General features: G+C 45.7%; 1 protein-coding gene and 1 non-coding gene across 28 annotated transcripts in view, besides 1 other annotated feature; both read right to left on the bottom strand.

Annotated features, from left to right (window-relative positions):
* Window positions 1-11,159: 11,159 nt before the first annotated feature.
* The window catches only part of NDRG2 (NDRG family member 2), a 54,110-nt gene continuing 46,994 nt past the window's right edge, over window positions 11,160-18,275 (bottom strand). For 9 of the 27 annotated variants that reach the window (NM_001282211.2, NM_201536.2, NM_016250.3 and 6 more), the window contains 14 exons: window positions 17,638-17,718; window positions 16,789-16,894; window positions 16,459-16,579; window positions 16,214-16,276; window positions 15,181-15,241; window positions 14,893-14,979; window positions 14,317-14,373; window positions 14,036-14,139; window positions 13,513-13,557; window positions 13,160-13,211; window positions 12,854-12,901; window positions 12,601-12,636; window positions 12,384-12,435; window positions 11,169-12,159 (listed from right to left, as the gene is read on the bottom strand). In NM_001282211.2, the coding sequence (NP_001269140.1) occupies window positions 11,993-12,159; window positions 12,384-12,435; window positions 12,601-12,636; window positions 12,854-12,901; window positions 13,160-13,211; window positions 13,513-13,557; window positions 14,036-14,139; window positions 14,317-14,373; window positions 14,893-14,979; window positions 15,181-15,241; window positions 16,214-16,276; window positions 16,459-16,579; window positions 16,789-16,894; window positions 17,638-17,718 (1,080 nt within the window). In that variant the 3' untranslated portion in view covers window positions 11,169-11,992. Of the gene's footprint in view, window positions 12,160-12,383; window positions 12,436-12,600; window positions 12,637-12,853; window positions 12,919-13,023; window positions 13,061-13,159; window positions 13,212-13,512; window positions 13,558-14,035; window positions 14,140-14,316; window positions 14,374-14,892; window positions 14,980-15,180; window positions 15,242-16,213; window positions 16,277-16,458; window positions 16,580-16,788; window positions 16,895-17,260; window positions 17,303-17,637; window positions 17,905-18,275 lie in introns of all 27 variants that reach the window. The other 18 variants (NM_201537.2, NM_201535.2, NM_001354559.2 and 15 more) reach the window with 11 other exon arrangements.
* Window positions 13,912-15,111: an enhancer, noted in NCBI's record as "BRD4-independent group 4 enhancer chr14:21487674-21488873 (GRCh37/hg19 assembly coordinates)". NCBI's record gives its function as "activates an origin of replication core promoter dependent on BRD2, P300/CBP, MED14 and CDK7 cofactors, and independent of BRD4, by STARR-seq in HCT116 cells {active_cell/tissue: HCT116}" and the evidence as "EXISTENCE:reporter gene assay evidence [ECO:0000049][PMID:35650434]".
* On the bottom strand, window positions 17,711-17,783 carry MIR6717 (microRNA 6717). The gene has a single exon (NR_106774.1). It is a non-coding gene; the product is annotated as a microRNA 6717 (primary transcript).

Below are 18,275 nucleotides of genomic sequence, written 5' to 3' on the forward strand. Positions count from 1 at the left end.
TGTCAAAATTTAGAATCTAAAATTATATTAAACAACAGATATCTCATTATTTGGGTATTTTCCAATAACAATATATTGTAGGAAAACATTCTTTCTAAAGATTGTGTCTTTTTTAAAGGGTAACTAATTTTTGTCTAATTCAAAGCTTATTTAAAGATTATATACAAAACAAGGTAAAAGAAACCAGGGAATAAAAGAAATATAAAGAAAGCTATAAAAATAAATAGAGTTTTAAAGATTATTGGTGAAATAAAAATATTTTCAAAAATGTAAGCCTTTGGTCTAAATTATGCAGGTCAAATATTACGTTTGCGAAATGCTTTAGTCCATAAACTGCTTCTTTGACTTAAAAATTGTTCAATTTATTTTGGCGGGTTAAATTCTAGATAAGGCCTGGGGACATGTAAAATTAGCCATGCCCCCTAGCTGTGCAAAAAGGTATTAAAGAAAAGAGAATTTATATAAGAAAGGATCTTGTTCGTGCCACTGCACTCCAGCCTGGATGACAGAGCAAGACTCCGTCTCAAAAAAAAAAAAAAAGAAAAAAAAAGGATCTTGTATGGTACATTCTTGTCCTAAAGTAAAATAACTGCTTGTTTAAAGAGAGGGATGTTTAGGACAAGTCAGAAAGTCAAGACATGTCAGAGATTGTGTAAGTCATGAAAGTTTTTTGTTTTGTTTTGTTTTTGAGATGGAGTCTTGCTCTGTCACTCAGGCTGGAGTGCAATGGCACTATATCAGCTCACTGCAACCTCTGCCTCCCGGGTTCAAGTGATTCTCCTGCCCCAGCCTCCCGAGTAGCTGGGATTACAGGCACCTGCCATCATACCCAGATAATGTTTGTATTTTTATAGAGATGAGGTTTTACCATGTTGGCCAAGCTGGTATTGAACTCCTGACCTCAGGTGATCTGGCCACCTCAGCCTCCCAAAGTGCTGGGATTATAGGCATGAGCCACTGCACCTGGCCTGTGAAAGATTTATGAAAGGGAATTTATGCAAGAAATGTTGTACAATTTAAAGGTGATTAGGCCTCCTAAATGCTTTATAAAATGCTACTATGGCTCTTAGCTGTACAACTTGCCTGCTTTACACCTAGGTAAGGCCTGGGACACATGGAGTTAGATGCTGGAATAAGTCAGACCTTATCTGCACTTCTGTCTAGGTCCTAGGCTCCACACCTAGTACACAGTTAAAATCCCAGACTTACCAAGGTTTTCACCAAAAGTAAAGGTTGCTAAGAGTTAACGGTGTAACATGTATTTTAAGACTACTGAAGAAACAGTTTACATGCCAGGTGTGTAAGGAAAGTAAAATATACTTTTGGTAAAAGATTATAAGGATGCATGAGATTGTGGATTTCTGCCTAGATTAAAAGGTTAAAGGATTGTTTTAAATTGGATACAATAAAGATAAAGGTTTAAGCAAGTTGTGGAAGGTTAATTGTAGAGGAAATTCTGTGTGTAAAATATTGGCTAAAGTTAAAAGGGAATCATCCAGTTTTTTCTGTAAATCGAGCATTGAAATAAAAGCACAATGGGATTCTCTTAGAGCACTAACTTGCTCTTTAACAAAAATTGTAAAGGGTTATAAAAAGTCTATAAAAATCTTACCTTGTGGTGAAACATTAAAATTGGGTAAACATGTCTATAAGGATTTATTAAGAATTGGGTTTAACATCCATAGTACACTAATGTAAAGGTGAAGTTTGGCTTATTTGGTATGAAAATTATACAGGAAGCATTGTCAAATATGAAATGGTGTTTGGCTTTCTTTGGGTTATATTTGTGTAAATATGTTATTGGTATGTGTTCCAAAGTTATGGGAGACTCCTATAATTCTGATATATCTTAGTGTATGTTATCAGTAATAATTATAATTGTTATGTTAAATTATTGTGTGCCACAGAGGTAACAGATTTTCTTGTCAGTTGTGTCTCTTTTTTTTTTTCTTTTTTTTTTTTTTTGAGGCAGAGTCTCACTCTGTCACCCAGGCTGTAGTGCAGTGGTGAGATCTCGGCTCACTGAAACTTCTGCCGCCCAGGTTGAAGCAATTCTCCTGCTTCAGCCTCCTCAGTAGCTGGGACTACAGGCACATGCCACCACGCCCAGCTAATTTTTGTATTTTTAGTAGAGACAGGGTTTCACCATGTTGGCCAGGCTGGTCTCGAACTCCTGACCTCATGATCCACCCACCTCAGCCTCCCAAAGTGCTGGGATTACAGGCGTGAGCCACCGCGGCTGGCCGTCAATTGTGTCTTTAACTATGGCTACCCTAAACATTTTTGTTATCTGTAAGCAATTGTTGTCTTGTTTTCATCCTCTTTTGAAGGTGGTTTTATAATCAGCTATAAAGCTCTAACAAGGCTGAGCGCGGTAGCTCACGCCTGTAATCGCAGCACTTTGGGAGGCCAAGGAGCGTGGATCACCTGAGGTCAGAGTTCAAGACCAGCCTGGCCAACATGTTGAAACTCCGTCTCTACTAAAAATAACAAAAATTAGCCAGGCATGGTGGTACATGCCTGTAGTCCCAGCTACTCAGGAGGCTGAGGCAGGAGAATAGCTCAAACTCAGGAGGCAGAGGTTGCAGTGAGCTGAGATCACACCACTGCACTCCAGCCTGGGTGACAGAGTAAGACTCCATCTCAGAAAAAAAAAAAAAAAAAAAAAAAAAAAAAAGCTGTACTAGGTGCTCTTGATTGCAGATTTCTGATAACTTTTGAGATTGTGACATCAGAATAGAGGAAAACGTTCAGGACTCTTGAAGAGCTAAAATTTTCATTAATATCAAGCAGGATAGGAATTAACTGCATGAACTGAACTAAGAGGAGACTGGAGTGATTTTGTTGACATTTTGCTTAGAATATTGCTAATCTTTTGTTTTGCTTTTCAAAGTCGAAGAAACTTTTCTTTTGAGCTATTGACAGCTTTTAACAATTTAGTATACTCCCATGAACAAAATTTAGAGCATACTTTTTTCTCTCTACTTGATTTTCTCCAGAATTTGGAAACTGTCTGTGAGTATTCTTAAGTTATGGCAATAGAGTTATTCGCATAAGTGTAGTAAGAATCTGTTTTCTTTTGTAACAGGCCACAATTGGAAAAACGTTATTTTTACCAAGGCTTTGACTGGAATGATGCGCTTTCCTTTAAGGAATCAAACCTGACTTATGAACCCAATAAAGCCCTTGGGAAACTGCCCTCATATTTTGTGTACACAGTCCCTGTACAGGGTTTCTGACCTGTAGTAAGTAAAAAATGTCACTTTCTGACAGGGCAGGAACCCTAAGGTATCTTGGAACCTCAAGAGGAGAGGAATTCACCCAACTCATAGGTATTTGATGGTACAAATCCATGGCTGGGTTTGGCTTTAAAAAGGTCTTATGTCAGATTCCTTCTATGGAACAAAGTTCCATGAAAGCCAGTTCAAAAGGCCTATGTGAAAAATAATTATTCTTGCTGCACTTTATGCAAATAATCTGGCCAAGTATAATAAAGCTAACCAGTCCTATCATGATTTGTCTTTTAATAAAAATGGGAAACTGGAGAAAGAAAAATTGTTTCAAAACTATAGTACACCTGTTGTTAAATTCTAGTGTTGCCTGGTGTTTTTCAGTTTTTATTATTTTCTACAGTTTGGATTAAATTCTAATTTTTCTGACTACAAGTCTGCAGATAATGTTTTCAATTTTTTCCTTTTGCTTTTCCTTTGTCCCCATTTTTCCTAACTGAAAATCATTGAAACCTAAGCTGTGCTTTCTTAAAGCCCTGTGAACGGAAGACTAGACAACTTACATTTCAGAAGAAAACAGCAGCAACCTATTTATATGTATTGCTGTTGCATACTATTATGTTTCATCGGGCACTGCCTCTAATCCCCCCAAACAGAGAGCGCTACTGGGAACAAATCGACCTCTTCCACCCCAGTGCTGCGTTCAGTGCCCCATAACGATGACCCTCTCTCAGCAGGAAGTAGCCAGAAAGATTACAATGCCCCATCTCCCTACGATTCTCATGATAAATAAATATACAAGCATGATAGAAATCATGCACAAATTGACAGTGGGGATTGTAGCAGGCCAGGCTTCACTAATGCAGGCCTCCATCACAACTGTTTCAGTACTGACTGGGTAGTTAAGTTAAATATTAAAAGCCAGTGCCCTTATACAAAGGCTGTAATGTAACAAAAGCCCATCAAGAGTTTTGCTTAGGCCTTTCTTGGGCCTTAAAGCATGACAAAATAACGAAGGAATTCTTAACAGGACCCATTTAGGATTAAACAGGTTTTATTGGATGGCTGAAGAAATTTCCCAGGCCTCCACAAACAAGTTTATTGGAGGTCTGAAGGAACTCCCCAAACCTCTGTGATTTAGCAGGAGACAAGATAAGGGTAATCATCCCAGCATCTAGACCCATTTAGATTAAGTAAACTTACTGAAGCTCCAGAGGTAGGTTTTCCGGACTCAGACCTTAGTTATAGATTAAAAGAAGTTAATCACTTATGTCTTTAGACGAATGCATGCTTACACGTAGACATATAGCTTAGAAGGTATATAAGCTCTGAAAAACTTTGTAATTTTGAGTTGGTCTGGTGATAATTTCCAGGCCTTCTCCCTGTAACCGATGACAGAAATAAAAACTCTCTTTCTGCCCAGTTCATCGGCATCTCGTTATTGGGCCACAAGAAATAGCAGGCCAACCCTCAGTTTGGTCCAGGAACACTATAGTGTTGCTTTCACATACATTATCATTAAGAATGACACCAAACCAGGTGCTTATTTAAAGAAAGGAGGAGGCTGGGCATGGTGGCTCACGCCTGTAATCCCAGCACTTTGGGAGGCTGAGTCGAGCGGATCACTTGAGGTCAGGAGTTCAGCCCCAGCCTGGCCAACATGGTGAAACCCTGTCTCCACTAAAAATACAAAAAGTAGCCAGGCATGGTGGCGTGTGCCTGTAGTCCCAGCTACTCGGGAGGCTGAGGCAGGAGAATCGCTTGAACCCGGGAGGTGGAGGTCACAGTGAGCCGAGATCACGCCACTGCACTCCATACTGGGCAACAGACCGAGTGAGACTCTGTCTCAGAAAAATAGAATAAAAATAAAATAACGAAAGGAGGGGATGACCCCCTGTGTATAGAATGCTAAATACCACACAGCTACACACTCCCATTTGTTGCTTCTAGTTCTAGTCAAAGACTACTTGAAACTCCTAGAAAGCAATAATTTCCTTAGACAATCCACAATCCCTGGGGGCTTGGAATGTAAATGGATGAACAAATGCCTGAAGGTACCTGATAAACTCAATATTTCATAACCTCAACAGGTAGACATTATCTCCACAGTAAGTCCAGGGAAACTGGCATTCAGAAAAGTTAAATAATTTGATCACAGAGCTAGCTGGGTTTCAAGCCCATGTTTCCGTGATTCTAAGAAAACTTCAATGTATAGATTCTCTTCTCCCTCATTACCTTTTCCTTACCACATCCTCCCATCTCCCCAGCCTATATGTTAGGATCCCAGAAGAAAGCAGATAGTACATTAGATGATTGAGGTGATATTAATAAAGGGAGTATTTAGGAAGGTGTGGGTTTGAACAAAGCAACAAATCATGGGGCAACACCCTGGGACTGAATAAAAACAATGCTATTACCTAGGCTGAAGAGAAGGGAGCAGTTGTCAGAAACTAGACAGGGCCATCCAACACGAGCTGTGGCCTTTGGTGGAGGGATGCAGCCAACTTGCAGGGACCCAACAAGGAGGAACCAGGGGAAAAAATTTACTCTCCTACTCTTTGATCTCCTGCCAAACCCAAACAGAAGCCAGAGGACAAAAATCTCTGTTGGTGCATTGCAGCCAGGTAAGCCTCATGGGGCACAGAGCATAATACCCAGATGTAAAGGGGCAAGCAGGTGTTCCACATACCATCCATTCTCTGCTACTTTCAACTTGAGTGATCTTGCTAGGACTTTGGGAGGGGTGAATTGAAAGGTACAAATGTATGTGAAAGCTAGAGAGCTATTTCTAGTACAGAGGATTTGTATGGCTGCAGAAAGGAGACTTAAGGAGAAGTACATTAGACTGTTGGAGCTCCTCACCATGTTCTGGGTCTCTACCGGCATTTGAGGTAAATGAGGTAGAGCTTGGGATATGTCAGGCATAGGTGGATGAGTCCTGAACTTTCTGCCTCCTTCTATCCCAGGAGCCCTTGGATTCCTGCTTTAGTCTCCTCTGTCCTCAGCCATCAATGCTTTCTTTCCTTTCCATGGCTATTTCCTTTCCTTTTTCCAAAATTCTTACCAACCAGGAACAGAACCATCTTTAGTTTGAACCATATTGTTTCAAGAGCTAGAATAAAACTAGAGAATGGCTCATGTAGAGAATATCAGGGAGAACATCAGGACTAGGAAACTGAAATAACCTTTTGATTGTTTTCAGAAGATATGAATTCCCAGCAAGGAGCCAGAGAGGGTTATACGGAAGCAGAAGATGAATGTGATTTCTGAATGAGATTAAAACAAGAAAGGCTGGAATAAGAACAGGCATAAGAACCCTAGGACAGGAAGGAGAGCCGAGATGCCCAGGGCATGGTGACTGCAAACCTGATTCAGGAGTAAGCCTTGATTCACTCAGCCCTAAGAGATAGCTTATAACAAATGGTAACTAGAATGGTGAGAGCTGAAAAAATAAAAAAAGAAGGAAAAGGCGAGGCACAGTGGCACACGCCTGTAATCCCAGCACTTTGGGAGGCCAAGGCAGGCGTGTCGCTTGAGCTCAGGAGTTCAACACCAGCCCAGGCAATGTGGCAAAACCCCATCTCTACAAAAAAAAATAAAAAATATATATATACACACAAAAAATACAAAAAACTAGCTGGGTATGGTGGTGCACACCTGTAGTCCCAGCTACTTGGGAGGCTGAGGTGAGAGGATTGTTTGAGCCTGGGAGACGGAGGTTGCAATGAGCTGAGATTGCACCACTGCACTCCAGTCTGGGCAACAGAGTGAGGCTCTGTCTCCAAAAAAAAAAAATCAGAGGAAGGACGTGCAGGATGGGAAAAGGGATGAGGGAAAACCAATTGGAATAGTCAGGAGAGGATTTATGTAGAGCATTCTCAAGTCTCCCCAATCCCTGTCCTCTGTCCCTACCCCTCATTCTCCACTCCACACATGTACTTTGTATATACTTAAAGAGGAAGAATATAGAACAACGATACCTCCAACTGCCCTCCTAGAGCCAGCATTCCATTTCTGCCACCAGTACATTTTTCTCTAAAGTAACCCTTTGGAACTCATCTTTCCTTTGCTTTCAAGCTGAGGGTTTGATTTGAATATTGCAGTTGTAGGATGACAATGTGTAAAGAAAGAGAGATGGGGAATAGCATCAGAGAGAAACCAGAGTTTTGGGAGTAGTGTGGGAGGTCAGTCAGAGATCAACACACAAGGACAAGACACATCCAGGAACAAAAACCAAAGAGCTCCAGACAAACTCTTACAAGAGTTTGTGCCACTTCACCTCACCCTGAAGGACAATTTTAGAATGTCTTGCCACCCTCACTGCAAGAAACAGTCCCTTGCTCCTGCCTCTGGTCTGATAAGGTACAAGGAACAGCTGCCAGAGTGTGAGTGGGTTTGTATGTGTGAGTGTGACAACCAGCCAGACACCCTCACGTTCCCCCTGACTGACCTGAGCGGGGAGCCCATTGCCACTAGCAAGGGGGAAGCCAAAGAGGTGCAGAGAGGAATGACACCTGAAACCCCAGGCACCAGTGTGGGAATGCTTATAAAATGCTGGTTGTTGATTTTTAAAAATTTTAAATTGTGTTCTTTGTTACTGTCTTCACAGTTGTTGAATGTCAAGTACACAGGACATTCAACTTTTACTATGTATTTATCCAATTAGTGGGAAATTCTGATGTTAGTGAGGAGAGAGGGTACAAACAAATGACATTGCTCTGGGCACTATTTGCCCTCACCATACCCTGGCCTCTAGTCAGAACTGACTCTCACTTTCTAGTTAGTCCTAAAATTGCTCTAGAAAGGTGGTGTCTCCCAGCCAGGCACAGTGGCTCATGCCTGTAATCCCAGCACTTTGAGAGGCTGAGGCGGGCGGATCACTTGAACTCAGGAGTTTGAGACTAGCTTGGACAACATGGGGAAAACCTGTCTCTACCAAAAAAATAAATAAATACACACACACACACACATATATAGACACATATATTTACACTATATATACATATATACACATATATATACATAAATACACATCTATATATACACACACAAAAATATATATATTTATATATACACAAAAAGCTAGCTGGGCATGGTGGCGCACACCTGTGGTCCCAGCTACTCAGGAGGCTGAGATTGGAGAATTGCTTGAGCCCAGGAGGCAGATGTTGCACTGAGCAGAGATTGCACCACTGCACTCCAGCCTGGGTGACAGAGTGAGACCCTATCTGAAAAAAAACAAAGAGAAGAAAGAAGAAAAAGAAAAGAAAGAGATAAAGAGAGAAAGAAAGGAAGGAAGGAAGACAGAGAAAGAAAGAGAGAAGGAAAGAAAGAAGAAAAAGAAGGAAAGAAGAAAGAGAAAGAAAGAAAAAGAAAAGAAAGAAGAAAAAAAGAAAGAAGAAAGAAAGAAAGAAAGAAAGAAAGAAAGAAAGAAAGAAAGAAAGAAAGAAGGAAAGAAAGAAGAAAGAGAAGGAAAAAGAGGAAGGAAGGTGGTGTCTCCCACTCCAGTATTTTCCCTTACCATTCATATACTCTCTTATGGCTAACATCCATCCCTCCTACTGCAGGTTCAGTGTACCATCAGAGACTCACCCTTTAAAATCTCTTCGTGAAATCCAGAATTTTCAAGCTGAAACCATAAGGCTCTTTTCACTCTGTTCCGGTTTTACTCTCTTTCCCATTGAATCTTCTCTTAGCTGTCTTGGGATTTTGTCCCTAAAGTCTGGGAAGTACTCACGTTCCTTGACAATAAGGGGAAGAGAGAAACAGGGGTCCTAAACCTGAAGCAGAGACAAAAAGTAGGGAGTCTGTGGTTCTGCTTCTGTAAAATCACCTCTCCTCTCCTCTGAGAGGAGACCAGCTCTGATCTTGAAAATTTTGAAAATGGTCAAGATCAATGGCCAACCATGATATTAGGACCTCCTTCCTATAGAGCTACTACACAGAACCACAAAGCACAATGGAGCTGTAAGACCGAGGAAACACCAAGGGACCTGGGAACTGGGGAAAGTTATTAAGAACCATGTCAACCACAAGGGGGCACTGTGACCCCATGGGCTAAACTGGAATGTTTAGCTGATTGACATGGAAATGGGACATGGAATATGCTCTTGATTCTTGAGCTTTTCGTCGCTCTCCAACAGAGTAGAGAGGTCAGTCAAGGACAAAACCCCCACCCCACGACTAGCTCCCAGCAGAGGGCATCTTTCTCTCTACCAAACTCAGATTTCTTATGCAGAGACATCTATGGGAAAGACACACAGTCATCACCCATTTGACACACCCACCTACATGATAGATGTGTATGCACACACTCACCTATCTACACATACATGTAATGTGCTCCCATTTGTAGAGATTGCCCTGCTGACAGTGTTATCTATGTAGGCAGATATGCAGAAAAGACTTGCCTTCCCATCCATAATACACAACAGCAGCTATTGCCAGTAAAGATTGATGCTGGTTATAGGTTTTTGCCTTTTCCTTGTGTTTTTCCGAGAAGCTAGTTGGTCCCCACTGATTCCAATTATGCCGCTTCTTTTCTTCAGTGTGGTGCTTCGCACTCTGCTGCCTGCCCTGCGTGTGGTCACCCAACACCCTCAGCATCCAATAGCGAGCTCCATAACCCTGTTTGTTACCCAATACCTCCGCTTCCCCTTCTGACCCTGGCCTACCACATTTAAAATAGACCCAGTTCTATGAAGGACAGTGATGAAATGCTCAAGAATCAAGGGCATATTCCATATCCTATTTCCATGTCAATCAGTGTGTCAGCACCAGACATCAAGTGCATTAGTCCTCAGCTCAGTTTCATTGAGGAAAGGGTATAATTGCCTGTGGAGTTTCTGTAAAGCAATCTAGCAAAAGACCTTGTAATAGTCCATCACAGTAGTGTTGTCAATAATGCTACAAGGTGCCTCCTCATTTTTACTTCTTGTGCCTCAAGACCCTAAGAATCAGCCTGCAACAGCTGCAAAATAAGAATTCCTCTTCATTGTTCATAGTTGTGAAAAAGCTTCCTAATAAACCACAAACATAGACTTAATTAGCTCCCAGATCCCTTGGATTCCATGAGGGAAGAGGAATTCTCAAGATAAATCCTCCTTTTTGCTGCACCCCTCCTGAAAGAGTCTTCAGATCAGAATGAACTATGAGCAGCCCACCCCTTACAGTTAAGTTCATGCACCCTGGTCTACTGATTGCACTAAAACATCCAAAATGGAATCTAGGTGACCCCCTAGGGAGGATCCTACAGGAAGGTGGGTCTCAAGATATCCTTGGGCACTTCTGTCATCAGTCTTCTTCAATTTTTTTTTTTTTTTTTTTTGAGATGGAGTCTCACTCTGTCGCCCAGGCTGGAGTGCAGTGGTGTGACCGTGGCTCACTGCAACCTCCACCTCCTGGGCTCAAGTGATCCTCCCACCTCAGCCTCCCTAGTAGCTGGGACTACAGGTGTGCACCATCAAGCCCAGCTAATTTTTGTATTTTTTGCAGAGACGGGGTTTCACCATGTTCCCCAGGCTGGTCACAAACTTCTGAGCTCAAGTGGTCTGCCCACCTCAGCTTCTCAAGTGTGTTGGGATCACAGATGCGAGCCACCTTGCCCAGCCTCTTCAATTCTTTCTTAAAGGTGGTGATGTTGGTGGTATCTCTGAAATCCTGTGGCCTTTCTCAGTTACCCATAGTTGATAAGGAAGTCTCCTAAGATCTAAATGGTTCCTCTCTCCCAGGCTTAAAAATACTACAATATCAAGGCAACACCGTTGTATTGGAAAAGAGCCAGTTTCTATGTGGTCATATTTTGTGAAGTGCCTATGCCACAAAGGCCCTCTCCCAGGGTTTATATCACTTTGAGAAGAGAATATGAGACGTGGACAGGGAGAAGATAGGAAGAGGAGCATGATGCAGGCACACCTAGACAAAGAATAATAACGGTACTCAGATTCCTCTACAGTTTATTGTTATAGCAGAAGTTGTGGGAGACGGGAGGGCACCCTCCACACATACTACAGTGTGGTCAGAGCCCCAGGGTAGCCCTTTCCACCCTATGCCAAGCCCCAAGCAGCCCAGCCCAAGCTTAGCTCCCTCCCCAGTCCCACTCTAGATGCACACTGAGCTACCAAAGTTAGTGCAGCCAAACGGCCCCAGGCCCCTTCCTGTTGCCCCAGCACCAATCCTTCCCCACACTCGTTCACTGCCCGCCAACTCCCATTCCAACTTCCTTTTTACACTGGATGTTTCTATCACATCCTGAGGACCACTAACCCACCAGCAAGTCTCCCCCTGACACACATTCACGTAGGTCCATACCCTTCAGAGTCCTAAAGGGTTAATGAGAAGCCACCTCAGCTTTGGTGAATGGAGCCCCAGCCCCAAATCCCCTCCCCTTGCAAATATGGGACAAGTAGGGAGAGTCTGATGGAGGCACCAGGACAACTACAACAACCTCTTACCCCTCAGCTATAGACACCTAGATCAGGACAGAGGATGCATATGCCCTCTCCACCTTAACATCAAAATGGGGGAGGAGGAGAATTTAGGGGTCTGGGTCCCTAAGAGATATTAGGACATCTCTTCCAGGAGCTGGGGGGAATCACGGGTTAAAGGTCAAGGTTAGGGTAGCAATCAAAGATCAAGGTCATCTCCCCGCATGATCTGCCCTTTTTCCCTTGCTTACGGTGGCCCAATGCCCCTTCAGCACCTCCCAGGTTAGCTCTGGGGGAGGTGAGGGCTGGGTCCCACTCTAGGGCAACAAGGGCCATTCAACAGGAGACCTCCATGGTGTGCCCCGGGGGCCCCGAAGAAAGAGTTCCAGACTCGCTGCTCTGGGACAGGGTGCGAGAGCGGGACCGGTTGCCATCAACGGATGCTGCACTGGTCAGAGAGGCTGTACGAGACCGGGACAGGCGAGTCATGCAGGATGAGGCCACTGTGGAGACAGCACGATGCACAAGCAGTCAGAGAGGAAGTGGGGAAGGGGGGCTGGCGACTCAGGGTGTGGTCCTTGGATTATGGACTAGTTATAACTAAGCCAGGGGATCAACGAGCTCGATTGGGCAGATAGCGGTGAGTCCAGGCATTCACCTAAAACGGTTCCACCCCGTCAGTGCCTATCTCTCCTCTAGTGCAGCAAGCTCTTGTCCCGATACTCACTGTAGCCCATGCCTTGCAGGAAGTACTTGAAGGCCTCGGTCAGCTTGCCTGGCTGCGGAAGTAAGAAGAGGCGAGGGAGACGGTGAGATGAGGTTAGAGGAAGAGCTGGAGCCTGAGGCTGCGGCACTGTGGGGCCGGGTGTGTGGCAAAGGGCAGAGCCCAGTGCCACCGGTATCCTATGTCCCTTCCCCATCCCATGGACGGCAGCGGCACTCACCTGAGTCAGCTGGGGCTGACCTCCGGAGTCAGCCATCTGTTCAGGAGAGCACCACCCAGAAAAAGTGAAACACACATAAATGAGCCATGCAGAGAGGTGGAAAGGGTCTCTCTTCCCTAGCTTCTTCACTCTAGCCCCTTTGTTTTGTTCTTCGTTCACCCCATTTGCTCCCATGCCGGGCCCTGGAGGCTTAGCAGCTGCATGTAGAGAGGATATATGACTGTGGACGGGGGCCCAGGAACAGGTTACTGACCTTGAGGAACGAGGTCTGGGTGGGGTCCAGTTTTGAGTTACATTCCACCTGGAGTAAGCAGGAGGCTGAATGAATGAGGTCACGCCCACTGTGGCGCCTCCCCCGTAAGGGACCCAGGAACCCAGACCCCAGTCCCTTTTCTATCAGCTCCCTACCCAGTTCCTCCTTACCAGGAATCAAATTCTTAGTGCCCCAAAGTTGATCTCCCTGTGCCAAACAGGACATCCCCTTGGCAAGATACTCTTCTGACCACCACTTTAGGACCCCAACCCTCCTCCCTCACTCACCCCAAAATTCCCTACTAACCACTGCATCTTCATGAGGTGCTTGGTCTCCTACCACCAGCATCACAGGACACCTAAAGACACAGTGTTGGGGAGAAGGCAGTGAGCCCCTGGCACTCCCTCACTGGCCTCTGCCTAGGAGTGCAGCTGGAAAAATATCTGGCTCCAAAGAGGAAAGACACTTCTGTGTCTCCCTGCTGATGCCACCAAGAGGATTCAAAGGGGGAAGACCTAGAGGGAAGTGATTTACCAAATAGGATGGGGTGGGACATGACAAGGAAGTTCCCTGGCAAAAGATTCTCCTTCTTCTAAGGGACACAAGCTCCTAGGGAAGATCCAGGGAGACAGGCAATGCATTATCTCTTAAAGTCTTACCTGAGGGTGATATCACCTCCACGCTCAAAGTTCAGGTCTCGGCGGCTAGAAAGGGGTTAAAAGAGTAGGAATTTTAGGTGGGCAATGCTATCTAACCAGATATAAGCTATCTCTCCCATGATGGAACTATCTTTGTCTAAAAATTACGGTCAAATCTTGGTTATTAAAGGTGGAAACCAAAGGAGAAAGGGGCAGGCAGGCCCCAAGCACAGCCCCTATAGTCACTTGTGCCCTAGATCCCTGGTCAGAGGGCAACAAAAGGGGAGGAAGGACACAGGACACAAGATCATCTTACTTCTGGGAGTCCAATAATCCAAAGGAGGTAAACAAGAGAAGGGGGACAGCCCCTTGCAATCCTTCCCACTGACTCTGTCCTGAAGCTGCCCCCATTGCACACTAAATGCTGCATTCCTTGCACATTGCACACTACCCAGACTTCCCTCTCCTCCTCTGTGCCTCCCCCATGACGCCCAATTACTGCTTCTGCATTTCTCTCACATGCATACACACACAGCCCACCCACTTGTTGTAGCTGTTCCAGTACAATTCAATGTTATCCAGGTTGGGTGCATGTGTAATGATATTTCTGTACTTTTGTATCAACTCAGAATTTCCAGAGAGCTCTTCCTGAAGGAGAGAACAAGGAGAAAAATTAGGGATGGAAAGAGAAAACAACAATTACTGGAGGAAAAGAGGTAAGCCTTCTTCCTTCCCCAAATCCTGTCCCAGCTAAGGAAGTTAGCCCAAGCATTCAAGTTCCCTGCTGCTCCCGTCGACTCTTCTACATCTCCTACACCCACTTACCTGGCTGAAAAGATGTCCAAGGATCATCTCCGGAATGGAAGAGGTGAGGCCTGTTAGCTATGAGGAGAAGGCAGGTGAGAAAGTTCAGGGTATTGGCCAGGCACAGTGGCTCACGTCTGTAATCCCAGCACTTTGGGAGGCCGAGGCGGGTGGATCACGAGGTCAGGAGTTCAAGACCACCCTGGCCAAGATGGTGAAACCCCATCTCTACTAATAATACAAATATTAGCCAGGCGTGGTGGCGGGTGCCTGTAATCCCAGCTACTTGGGAGGCTGAGGCAGGAGAATCACTTGAACCCAGGAAGCAGAGGTTGCAGTGAGCCAAGATCAAGCCACTGCACTCCAGCCTTGGCAACAGAGTGAGACACCATCTCAAAAAAAAAAAAAAAAAGAAAAAGAAAAAGAAAGTTCAGGATATTATAAGAGACTCAGGCAAAGTGACAGCTTCACTTTCCTGCCCCTTTACTCCCTCCTTGAAGTTCAGAGTCCATCCAGTTAGGCTATCTACCAGAGCCTAACTGGATCCATACGAGGGGATCCCCAACCGTAGGTCTCAGCACACAGGCCCCTCCAAACCTTGTGGGCTGCCCAATCCATCCAACCCTTGGCATTGGGATCAATGTTGATGAGGACAAGACCTTCAACAGTGTCCGGGTGGTTAAGCTGAGGGACAGCAGAAGGAAGGAAATGAGAAACAGGGCATGGCCTTATCCCCTCCCCGCTAAGCTCGACCCACTCCTGGACTCCCACAGGGCCTGACTCCCCACCTAGTGCCCACTTCCTCCCCCAAACAGCACTAATAAACAGTATTCTCCTAATCAGTCTGGACCCTCCTTTCCCTCCTCTGGGCTTTTTATTTCTTACAGCATATCTCGCCAGGATGTAGGCTCCAGCTCCAACACCAACTCCAATTATTGTAGAGAAACTGTGAAAGGGAAAGAAATATACGCCTCATGGGATCTGCTGTCCAAAACCTGCCACAGCCCATCTCTTCAAACTCTTCACCCTCCCTCCTGAGTCCACGGGCACAAAGAAAGGCAGACACGGACCTTTCTTTGGAGGACGCGAAAAAGAAGGGCCCAAGAAGCCAAAGGTTGGCACGGGTAGTCAGGGTAGATACCTGAAGTCTATCCCCAGCTTTCTGCTGGAGAGCTAGTGTCTTAAAAACAAACACCCATCCACCAGCCAACCAACACACTGTTTTCCCATATAGATAGCTCTTTGTCCATTCTCAATTTTCAAGAGCCAGTTCAACTTGTTCTGCTTTAGTTCCTGGTTCCTCTAGAGGAACGGGAAGAATGGAACTTAAAGCAAATGTGAAAACAGACACAATTTTAGTGAACAATGGAGAGAATGAGGAAAAGAGTGGCAAAGTGGTGAACCAGAGCTGCTGAGCCCTGGTGCCTAGGAGAAGCTTAGCTAAGAACAGCACCCAGGGGCCAGCACCTCCCTCTGAATACCAAAGACACTTGGTCTGGTGTTCTCTTCCTTCCCCAACTCTCTCTCACCCGCAGAGCTCCCCATCCACCAGGTGTGGGCATGAAGGAGAGGGGAGTGGGAGAGAAAGAGACAGGTCTATCTGGTTCCTCAGGGATTATGTCACCCCCTTTCATTCCTCCCTGACTTTCTGATCAGAGAAGGCCCTCCTTAGCCTGAGGCAGGGCCAAGCATAGACCCTTTTCCTTCCCTCCACCCATTAGGGCTATTCTGTTGACTCTGGCCAATTTTCCAAACCCACCACCTTTTCTCAATAATCAAGGCGGGAGCATGAAGGAAGAAGATATATTGAGTTCAGAAGCTGAAACTGGCTCAGGAACCACGGTGAACCTGGAAGTTCTAAGGGTCTCCTTGTGCTGGAAAGAGAACTCTGGTTTGGAGGGGTTCCCAGGCCTCTCACTTTAGGTACTGCAGGACGCAAGGGATCATGTCTGCAAGCTGGTCCAGAGATGGGTACTGATATCTGGAAAAGAGAGGCATGTTAAGGAAGATACCAACCTGCCCTCACACCCCCCACCTCAGGATGTCCTACTCATTCTCTCCCAGAATAACCACTGCCCTCCCTTTCCTCCTCCCCAGTCGAACCTTTCCCGCACCTGTCCTGTTCCTCACAGTCTGGTGAAGCAGTAACGACCTAACTCTTACCCCAAAGGGAACACAGGGGCTCCCTCTTCCATTCCAGGGGCATCCACATGAACCCGCACAAAGTTCTGAATGATTTCCTGCATGTCCTCGAACTGAAACAGTGGCTGGAAGCAAGATTTATCTAAAGAGAACCCACATCACCTCAACAATAGAATCAGACAGGGACTCGTGTCCCCCAGTCAGAACTCACCCTTCCTTTCATGCCACAGTCAGACCAGGAGAGAACTTCTCCTTCCCACACTGACCCCTCCCCTCCCTCTGGGTTTCATTTCTACCCTTCCCCCACAGCCTCTTCCCAGACAGGAGTGGGAGATGAATGAAGGTCCTTACAGTTGAGTCCCACATCGTGGTAGGTAAGGATCGCTGGGCGTTTGGGTTTGGGGGTGCCATAGACAGTGAAAGTGACAGAGCCGTATGGTGTCTCCACAGAGTGAGTCTGCAGGAAAACAGGGCACCAAGAGCTAGGCTCAGAGGAGACGAGGCCAGAAAAGGAGCAACACCAAGGTCAGGGAGCTGGGAGTGGGTGGGCAAGAGGGAAAAGGGAACAAAGAATTAAAAACAGGATCAGCAAGAATTGAGGAAAACATGATACCGGAAGATGAGTTTGAGGATAAGAAAGAATAATGAAGATTAGAGAGAGAAGAGGAGGGGAAGGAAGGAGAGGGGAGAGATAGGGAAGGGAAAGGACTAGAATAGAAGGAAAGAAAGCAAAGAGAGAAGAGAGGGCCAAGCAGAGGCCATCCTTCTACTGGGGAAGAGGACAGCCCCTCCTCCCACCTTGGGACTGCCCCCACACTGTTACCTGTCCCTGGTCCAGGAGGATTCGGGCAGCTAACTCAGCCTCCTGGAGAGACACACACGGATTCACACAGAAACACATGACCATGTGGCGTCCCAGATGGAGAGACAAACAGACAAAGAGAGGCAAGTAAAGACAGACCAACAAATGACCAAAGACAGAAAGAGATTGACAAAGAGAGACACGGAAAGGATGAAGGTTAGTGTAGTGACGAGACAAGGGCCTGACTCCCAATTATAGTGTATGGGGAGAGAGACTAGGGTAGTGGTGAAGCAGTGGTGTGAGTTAGAATAAGATCAGTACGCTTGGGAAGTTAGAAGGCAAGGGGGATGCTTAGAGGTCTGGAATTTGGGCATGGGAGTCAAACGGTCTCTAATAACCTTGGCCGCCTCAGGCGTCTGTCCTGGCAACAGTGGCTTCTCCTCTGTGATCTGCACCTCCTGCAGCTCCGCCATGGTGGCCTGGCAGGATGAGGAAATGAGACTGGGAAGTTGTCTCTACATCCCCACATCGCCTCAAACACCAGGCTTCCTCTCTCAGCACAGGAAGATGCAGGGAACAGAGGGACCCAGGGGTTGAAGACTACTCTAGAACACACAGAGGGCCTTTCCTGCCCCCAGCTCCGTTTCCAGGCTGATCGGTGGAAGCTTTGGAAGAGGAATCAGGACAGCCCTTCTCTTGATACTCACCATCCCCACTGCCACCCTCAACACCACACCTCCAGACCCCTCCCTCCTCTGCCCTGGACCAAAATACCAGGGTGGGGCAGAAGTGTAGCTCAGATTTCTCGGGCTATATTTAGGGGCCACCCCACACTCTCAGGTAGGGAGTGAAACTTGTAGCTCAGTGACTGAGTATTCTAAAGGACAGGGTACCAAAAGACGGGACTGTGAGAGTTCACAATTGACCATGACCTTCAATTAAAGCCCCAAAGTCGGCAGCTCAAAGGGGGCTAAAAATGACCAAAGCAACATGACCAATGGGGGAGGTGGGGAAAACAACATAAAAGGGACATCTG

This window comes from Homo sapiens, chromosome 14 (assembly GCF_000001405.40).
Source record: "Homo sapiens chromosome 14, GRCh38.p14 Primary Assembly".
NCBI classification, from domain to species: Eukaryota; Metazoa; Chordata; class Mammalia; order Primates; family Hominidae; genus Homo; species Homo sapiens.